The sequence below is a fragment of the Homo sapiens genome, chromosome 15 (assembly GCF_000001405.40).
Source record: "Homo sapiens chromosome 15, GRCh38.p14 Primary Assembly".
NCBI classification, from domain to species: Eukaryota; Metazoa; Chordata; class Mammalia; order Primates; family Hominidae; genus Homo; species Homo sapiens.
This window is the reverse complement of record NC_000015.10, coordinates 82,253,109-82,262,742: the sequence shown is the minus strand read 5'-3', so window position 1 is coordinate 82,262,742 and position 9,634 is coordinate 82,253,109. Positions and strand designations below refer to the sequence as shown.

Below are 9,634 nucleotides of genomic sequence, written 5' to 3'. Positions count from 1 at the left end.
CGAGCGACAGCCGGCCCCGCCCCCTGGCGCGCGGGCGTGTCGGACCCGCAGAGCTCTCGGACTTTCGGAAGCTCTCGGTGTGGGTGCGACCCGAGAGAAGGAGCGGGGCTGGTGGGGCTGCTGCAGCCGGTGAGTGTGGGCTGGCGCTGGGGGCTGGAACCTCCTAGGCCAGCCTTTGGGCGGTGCCGGAGGAACCCGCTCGCTGCGGCTCTGAGGCGGGAACAGGGGCTGGGGCCGAGCGCGGGCTGGGAGCTTCGGTCCCCGGAGTGCCGCTTCCCGTCTGGGGCCGGGGCGGTCGCCTGTCTGTGTGGACCCAGGATCCTCAAAGAGAACGAATCTGGGACCCTGCAGAAATGAAGGGCATGTAGTGTAGAGGTTTTTCCTTTTTATTTAGAAAGGAATGAAAGACCGGCAGTGCACCTGCTTGGATAATAAGCACGTGACCCAAAACTTTGTTCGGGCTCCATGGGCAGGAATAAAGCTGGGTATTTGACCTCGCGCGAGGACGAGCGAGAATGTCAGAATGAGGGACTTGGGGGAAGACTGAAGAGAGAAAGGGAGCATCTTCTTCAGCATTTTCTCTCCCTCCTGGATGCAACCCTTCCTGTACGTGGTCATTGGCCTGGAGATGTTTACTGGAGTACTCCTCCACCGGCAGGGTTACTGGTGTCACTGTGCACCCAGTCCCCTCGAGCTGCGTGATTCATCGCAGCCTTTGGATCCGGAAGGATGAGCAAACTCCTTAAGTGTAATCGTGGTAGGATACTGACTTTAGTGCTCGAACTGGACTTAGGCCTTGGTGGTCTATCTCATCAATAAACATTCACTGGGTTCTTGGTTTAAGGGGTTTGAGAAGCTTGCCACCTCCCAGCGTTTATTATTATTTTTTTCTTTTGCCCCGACCTTTAGCCTCTGGGCCATTTGTAATACATATTTAATTTTTAGTCACAGGAAATAAGTAATCATGGTGCTCAACAGTTTGGATAAGATGATTCAACTCCAGAAAAACACTGCCAACATCAGGAATATTTGTGTTTTGGCTCATGTTGACCATGGTAAGAATACTTTTTAAATGGCTTATTTTGATAAATAAGGGAGATGTGTCTCTGTATGTCTCAGTGGAGTGAAGCTGTGGACAGCTGAGAGTGATGTTTGCTAAGAAGCAAGTCTTCTTTCTTTAAAAGTTTTGTGTGATGTTAGGGAAGCCTGCTTTGCTATAAAGCATTTGAAATGAACACGGTTACCTAGTGAGTAGCATTCTTCTATATATTATGTCATGTTGTTTTTTAAAGCAGAACTTGAATTTTTTGTTTTTGAAATGGCTTTACATATAAAATGTCTGTAGTCTTGACATAATGTCCTTAGAGTCTGTGGTATGTGATCCTATTTAATTCATCAGATATTTATCAAACGTCTGTTAAGTTCAAGATATTTTGCTTAGTATGTCTGAAGGTGGAGATTTATGAGTAGGGCACTAGCCCAGGGGAGGTTTTAACGGGGAGCAGAGCAAAATGAGACAAACAAGAGAAAAAAGTAGACTCTAAGGTTGGGAGAACTAGAGGATTAGGAAGTGAGGGGTTAGGAAAAGACCTCACAACATAATTAGTATTAGAGATGACACTTGAAGGGGGCTCAAGATGACAAATGGAGATAATCATTACAGGTGGGAATGTGTCATCAAGGGGAGAGGGAAATATATGTGGTCAAAGCCCAGTATATGGGAAAGGCAGAGATAGCTAACCCATGGTATGTTCTTCTGACAGATACTGCTGTAACTCCATAGCGCTCCTTCATGCTAAGCCTCCTCTTGATTTCAAACCTCTTGGTAGTTTAGGTAACCACAGCAAAGTGATTGGGATGGGCATATGAAATAAAACATATTTACCATCCTGAAGATGAAGGACCAGTTGGCGAGGTGAAGAAGCAGGCTGAGTCATATCTCATAGAGCTGCTCATGCCAGCTAGGAACTGGGATAAGAGTTGAGTGCTCCAGCTCTGGAGTTAGACAACCTAAGTTCAGATCTCCATTTTCAAGTTACATACCTTGCCTTTTTGAGCTTCAATATACAGCATCTGTAAAACAGGATGAAAACTATACCTGCTTTATAGGCTATAGGATTAAATGTGATAATAATGAGAGGGAAGGTAAACGCTTCACCATGAAAACGATCATTAATGTCTACTATTAGGCAGTAGGGAGCCTTTGGGGGAAAACATGGAGCAGGAATGATGTAATCAAATAAAACATGAGAAAGATTAGATTGGTAGACATGCTTAGGATGGATCCAAAGTCAGAGATTAGGTGGCTGTTGTCATTGATAGAAGAGCTGAAGTAATGTGAGTATGGAAACTGACAGAAAGACAGATAGTGGATCACTTACAAGTGAAGCCAGCTGTGAATGAGTTTTAGTACAAATCCAGTGAGTAACCCCTGCCTCCATGAGTTTTTATAATTTTACTGCTCACATTTTGAGAATGTGAAGGCTGATAAAAGGGTTTTTTTTTTCTTTATGAATTTATTCAAGTGGAAAGTTAGTGGGGTGTAACAAATTACTTTAAATGTATTGTTTAAAATTATGTTAAGCTGCTACTATCCTAAAAAACCTGGGATTCATCCATTCAACAAGTATTTTCTGAAGGTCTTCTATATGACAAGCGTTGTTCTGGTCCTAGGGATACTGCTGTGAATAAAGCAAAGTTCCTGCTTGCTTGATAATTATTTTCTAGGGAGGTATATACTTGGTGTACTTAGAATAAATTCAGCTTTACTGGGTAGCAGGAAAGTGATGCTCTAGGATTATATGCTAATACATATTTACATTGCAGACAGATAGCAGTGTTAAATATCTTCAGTTCTCCTACTCATTGGTCTCTGGTTTGAACAATACAGAGATTCCATAGCTTTGCTGAAGTTCCTAAAGTGCAATAAAGACTTGTCTTGAAGGAAAAAAACCCTCCTTTGCTTACTCCAACCCAGTTGTAGTAATTATGCATACCCCTGACATTCTTTACACAGAATCACCTGTTTATATCACATAAAATCTCATAGACTTTAGTTGTATGTAGTCTGCTTAATAAAAGTAACTATAAATATATTCGAAGATTCTTTTGCTTTAAAGTAGATTCCTAGGTTTAGATTTGGATACTAGGTTTCATTGGTTGTTACAGTATGTTTATGCCCTCCACATGCTATATTACAAACAGTAAGAGATATGGATAATGTTCCTGAATTTCTTTGATAAGTAAGTATTTTCTTAAGACAGTTTAGCAAATTCCAGCTGAGGCCATGCATGGGGAAATATGGCAAAAGAGTATGTTCTCTAAAGTTACTTGACAACTTTTCAGATGAGGTTGAGTAGATCCACAGGGTTGGAGATAAGATTACAGCATTATAGAGTGCTAGCCTCTGTGTCCTTCCAGATGATATTCTGTTCAAAAGTCTAATAAATCTCTTTTGTCACCTAGCATAGGTAAATAGAAAATCTTTACTAAACCAATTCTTATGACCAGATTTTAAATCTATAGGTATGATCCATGACCCCTTTTAAAAAAGATATAGATTTGAATTGATGTTGCTATTTTAACAGGAAAAACTACTCTGGCTGACTGTCTTATATCTAGCAATGGAATCATCTCCAGCCGCCTAGCAGGCAAGGTATGTTATTATTTTATAAATACTTGTTGCATTTCAGTATTAGCTATCAACAATGTGATGAACCATTTTCTGTGTTCTTCAGCCATCCAAAAGGGTATAAAACATAATTCTTGCGTCTAAAAGCTGCCAATCCATTTTGCAAGATAAAAATGCTGAGGAGAAAAATAGTTACTTCTGTATTGCTTTGTATTGCTTTATCCTAAGTGCAAAAGTGAGTTTTTGCAGCAAGCAAATGATACACCATTGTGGAAGATTTCACAGCGCAAGAGATTCTTTGTAGGTGAATGAGTTGAGTGGTTTGAGGAGAAGACAGAAAAGCTACCAGGTAGTGGGAAATAAGACGGATAAAGGCTAATTTGTGTGTTGTGCTCTATTTGAGTGGAGTGTTTGCCTAGAGACTAGTGACAGAGAAAACATACTGGCAGGGAGAATAAGATTATAGAAGACCTTAAAAGTTAACCTAAGTATCAAAGGAAAGCTGCTTGTGCCTGAGGATTGTGATGAAAATAGTGGGTTTTTTGGTTTTTGTTTTTGAGACAGGATCTCACTCTGTTGCCCAGGCTAGAGTGCAGTGGTGTGATCATGCACGGCTCACTGCAACCTCGCCCTGTTGGGCTCAGGTGATCCTCCCACCTCAGCCTCTTGGGTACCTGGGACTACAGGTGCACACCACCACACCTGGCTAATTTTTTGTAGAGACAGGGTTTTGCCATGTTCCCTAGGCTGATCTTGAACTCCTGGGCTCAAGCAATCCTCCTGCCTTGACTTCCCAAAGTGCTGGAATTACAGGTGTGAGTCACCACACCTAGCCTGAAAATAGCGTTTGAGGAAATAAAATTAAAGAGATCTTTATTTGTAGCTATGAGTTGAAAGGGCTTGGAATAATTTACTTGGCAGTAGAAAAATAAAGATATATTCGTTTCCATAATGAATTTAGGATATGATCAATAGGGTTTATCAGGTGACAGAGAATAGAGAGAAGAGGAGACGGAGAAGCAAAATTGAATCCACAGGGTAGACCCAATAGACTTGAAGATCGATTTGGGAATTGATGTGTGGGTTGGGAGGGAAGCTGGCCCAAGATACTATCTAGAGGAGGCTGAAGAAAACTAGGTTGAGTGAAATAATGAAATGCTTATATTTTCCCCACTTGAGAATTTAGAGAAAGTACAAAACTGAAGTAAGTAGATGAAAGGAAATAGTAAAGCATAAATTAATGAAATAGTAAACAGACATTTTATAGAAAGGATCAGTGAAGCCAGAAGTTTGTTTTTGGAAAAGATTAACCCAGCTAACAAATACAAAGAGTGAACCCTAATGTAAACTATGGACTTTAATTAATCATAATGCATCAATATTGGTTCATCAGTTGTAACAAAGGTATCACACCATATGCTAATACAAGATAGATATAATAGGGGAAACTGTGTGGGTGGGAGGAGAGAGTATGTGGGAACCTTCAGTCAATTTTTCTGTAAACTTAAAGGTGCTCTAAAAATATAAAGTTATTAATTTAAACAATTACTAGCAATATAGACAATTTTTGATTCTCTTGACTAGGAAACTTTTTTGTTTTGTTTTTCATTGACATTGTTGAGGAACATTTGACACTTTTGACCTGGTAATGTTCCTAATGTGGCTCACTGTACTTTGGACATATAGAAAGCATAGTATATATAAATAAATATTTTTGAATGAATGACTTTAAAGAAGAGTAACACAACTGACAAAACACCAGCAAGATGATCAAGAAGAAAAGAGAGGAGGCAGAAATATGTGATACCCAGAAAGAAAAATGCTGCAGAAGTTAATAAGGTAATAATAGGATATAATGAACAACTCTGTGCCAGTAAACTTAAAAGTGCTAAAATGGAAAAATGTCTGGAAAACATAACTTGCTAAAATGGAGTCAAGAAGAAATAGGAAACTTGAATTATTCTATAGTCATTTAAGAAATTGAATTGGCTGGCAAAAATCTTTCCATAAAGTAAAGACCCAGATGGTTTAACTCTCTAGTTCTGCCAAACATTCAAAGAATAATTTCAGTCCTACTTAAACCATTTCAAAATATAGCAGAGAAAAACCCAACAATCGGCAGTATTCTCCAAATCATATGAAGATAGCATAACTTTGATACCAAAAGTCTGTTAAGGATAGTACAATATAGGAGAATTATATACCAACCTTATGATTATGGATGCAAAAATTATCATCCTCATTAACAAACAATTCAGCATAGTATAAAAAGATGATTATTCATATCCAAATCGAGTTTATCCCAAGGAATTCAAGATTGGTTTAACATGTAATTTCACTATATTAATGGATTAAAGGAAGAAAATCATGATCATTTCAACAGATATAAAGACATGTAGTAAAATTCAACATCTATTGTGATAAAACCTCTTTGCAATGTAGTTACAGAAGAGAACTTCTGTAATCTGATGTGGGATATTTATAAAAAACCTAAAATGAAGATTGAACTTAATGATGAAGTGTTAAAACTTCTCTATTCATAGCCAGGAATAAGGCAAGAATGGCTGTCACACCCTTCTGCTCATTGTGTTATAACTTCTACTTTAGATTGTACTGGAGGTTCTAGTTGCAGTGATAAAGCTGGAAAGAAAAATAAAAAGTGTGAATTTTGGAAAGGAAGAAAACAAAAATGTAGATAAATTGCTAGGATATTAGTAACAATTTGGCAGGTTTCAGGATACGAAAACTGTTGAAAAGAAGTATACGTGAGCAATAAATAGGTAATATACAGTAATTTAAAAACGTAAACCATTTAAATAGCATAATAAATGTACCTGTGCCGGGCATGGTGGCTCATGCCTGTAATCCCAGCTACTTGGGAAGCTAGGCAGGACAGTTGCATAAACCCAGGAGTTTGAGGCTGCAAAGAGCTGTGACAGCAACTGCACTCCGGCCTGGTGGATAGCACAAGACGCCATCTCTTCAAAAACAACAACAATAACAACAAAACCTATGAGATATTGGAGAAAACTTAAATGGAAGGATATACCATATTTACGTATTGGCTGTCTATTTTTTAAATGACATTTAAAAAATATTGATCTGTAGATTCAGCAATTCCAGTAAAAATTCCAACAGATTTTTAAAAATTTCAACTTGATATGCTGATTTAAAAATATATACAGAAGAGCAAATAAACCAATTAATAGCCGGGACTGAAGAAGAGTAAGATATGGAAATACATCTTACCCACTGGCAAGACTTATCAATGTGTTGATGTGTTGTAACCTGTGGCCTGGAATCGGCTGAGGCATGAAATTGACTGACGGCTCAGAATAGTAGGCTGGCATTTCAGATCTGTGGGAAAAAGATGAACCTTTCAAGTGGTTCTTGGGCAACTGGTTATCCCTGTGGAAAAAAAAATTGGACCTCTAGTTAACACCACACACAAATTGCACAGTTAAGACATTTTTATTTAAAAGCTTTTTTATTTAAAAACTAAAGCTTTTAGAAAATAATATGGGCTAATATTTTTATGACCTTAAAGGAAGATTTCTTAAGACAAAAATGTGCAAACAATTTTATAAAAGGTTAATAAACTACTTAAAATTAAGTACATATTCATCAAAGATGCCAGAAAGAAATGGAAAAAACAAGCCTGGTAACTGTGAAAAATATTAATAACACACATATAATTGACAAAGGACTAATATTCAGAGACTATAAATAACTCCTATCCAAAACAAAATAAATCTGTATTGCAACCAGTAGGAAGGTGGACAAAAGCCTTGTATAGGCAATTCACAGAAAAGGAATGTTAAATGGCCAGTAAAAAACTTACAAAAGGATACTTAATCCCATTAATAATAGGATAAATGTAAATTTAAAACCATGAGATGCTATTTATCACCCATCTTACTTAGAAAATAAAGTCCAGCAATATCAGCTGTGGAGGTTATGGATCAAGAAACGCACTATTCCACTGTGGATCAGTCCAACAATTTGGAAAATAATTTGGAAATATCAAGTTAGGTTGAGGATGTGCAGATTTAATAACTCAGAAATTCTACTGGTAGGGAGTGTACAAGAGACCCACAACTGTTCATATCAACTCAGTAATAGTTACAAAAAACTGGAATCAGTCTCCATGTCCATCAGTACCCACCAGTTGAAGGTCTACATCTCATTCTCTAGACCTTGAAGTACATCAGTACTGACAGTGGTTTCATTTAAATAAAGATCCCATCCTTTTCCAACTCCTTAGCCCTAAGCACCAGACTAACCTCCTCCTCCTTTCTCCAGAATGATTTTCCCTTACCCTTCCTTCATTCTCTACAATGGACGAATGGGTCTGGTAGATTTGTGAGGTGGAGTCCTACAGTAATAAAAATGAATAAATTACGTCAATGTGGCTGAATCTCAGGAAAACAATATTGAGCAGAGAAAAAGTGACAGTATAATATATTAAGTATGATTCTTATAGAAGGCTTAAAACTTGCCACTCTAAATGATATATTGCTTAGTGACACACTCATTTTTAAAAATTATAAAGAAAATAAGGAAATGATCAAGATAAAATTCAAGATAGTGGTTACCTGTAAGCCAGGGGCACAGGGTACTTCAAAAGTAACAAACATTTTTTTTTTTCCTTTTGAAATGGGATGGTGCATACACAGGGGTTCATTGTGTTGTTATTTATGTATTACACGTTTCATACCAATTCAGTGCTTAAAAACATACATTATAGAAAACTGACAAGGGACTGAGACTTTCTGAAGGAAGGACTGACTGAGAGGTTGGAGAGGTGAAGGGAAACCAGCAGTGGGATCTAAGGAGAGATGGAGGTAAATTAAGAGGTTTCAGACTCTTGGAAGAATTTCACATATGCACGTAACACACATGCACACAAAGGGTAACTGTCATGCTGCACTGGAATCAAGAAAAATGAGGATTGAGAATGATTATTGCGTTTCGCCAGAGGTCATTGATAGCTTTTAGGACTTTGATTTTGCCAGAGCTGTGGAAATGGAAGCTTTTCTGAAAATTTCAGAATTAATATGGATGAATAAATGTGGCAGTTCATATCAACAGATAATTCTTGGTGCTTTTGAATGAAAGAAAGGAGAAAATAGACAGGTTAAGAATTTTTCAAAAGTTTGACAGTGGAGAGAATGGAGGAAGGGTAAGGGAAAATCATTCTGGAGAAAGGAGGAGAAGGTTAGTCTGGTGCTTAGGGCTAAGGAGTTGGAAAGGGATGGGATCTTTATTTAAACGACACCACTGTCAGTACTGATGCACTGCAAGGCCTAGAAAATGAGATGTAGACACTCATTGGTGGGTATTACAGTGTTATGAAAGTCATCAACTAAATGGTCATATTACAAATATTTTCTACTGTATTCTTTTTTTAAAAAAGATGTATTCAAAATCTATTAATTTGGGAAAGGAATAAAGACTTCTCTTGCTTCTAGAGACTTCTGTTTCAGTCTCTGCTCAGAATTTGTCAAACAGCTTATAAATAGGAAAAGAATGGCTATGTTATTGATGTTTAGAAAGAATTCCCTCAAATGCTACTGTCCGTAAGTTGTTCTTGACCTGCCCCATCATTCACGGCTGATATTTGGATGAGCAACACTCTGGGGAGGGTATGCAGTATTTCAATACATTTATGGTTCCTAGTGGTTATGTTTTTCAATTTTTCATGTTCCCTTCCCCTCAATCAACTTCACTTCTCCAGACCCCCATCATCTTAAAAAAAAAAAAAAGAGAGAGGGCTAGGCGCGGTAGCTCATGCCCGTAATGCCAGCACTTTGGGAGACTGAGGTGGGTGGATCACCTCAGGTCAGGAGCTCAAGACCAGCCTGGCCAGCATGGCGAAACCCTGTCTCTACTAAAAATACAAAAATTAGCCAGGTGTGTTAGCACATGCCTGTAATCTCAGCTGTTTGGGAGGCCTGAGGCAAGAGAATCACTTGAACCTGGGAAGTAGAGTTTGCAGTGAGC

At 38.3% G+C, this 9,634-nt stretch overlaps 1 protein-coding gene across 5 annotated transcripts in view, besides 1 other annotated feature; it reads left to right on the top strand.

Annotated features, from left to right (window-relative positions):
* Positions 1–8: 8 nt before the first annotated feature.
* The window catches only part of EFL1 (elongation factor like GTPase 1), a 132,502-nt gene continuing 122,876 nt past the window's right edge, over positions 9–9,634 (top strand). For 3 of the 5 annotated variants that reach the window (NR_136410.2, NM_001322844.2, NM_024580.6), the window contains exons 1-3: positions 9–129; positions 946–1,055; positions 3,588–3,655. Coding sequence is in view for 3 of the 5 variants with exons in the window: in NM_024580.6 (NP_078856.4) it covers positions 965–1,055; positions 3,588–3,655 (159 nt within the window). In the remaining 2 variants the exon portion in view is untranslated. Of the gene's footprint in view, positions 130–214; positions 607–945; positions 1,056–3,587; positions 3,656–9,634 lie in introns of those variants that run through there. The other 2 variants (NM_001322845.2, NM_001040610.3) reach the window with 2 other exon arrangements.
* Positions 1,893–2,079: a silencer, noted in NCBI's record as "fragment chr15:82553005-82553191 (GRCh37/hg19 assembly coordinates)". NCBI's record gives its function as "represses an EF-1alpha promoter that drives an FKBP-Casp9 reporter gene in an ReSE screen in K562 erythroleukemia cells {active_cell/tissue: K562}" and the evidence as "EXISTENCE:reporter gene assay evidence [ECO:0000049][PMID:32094911]".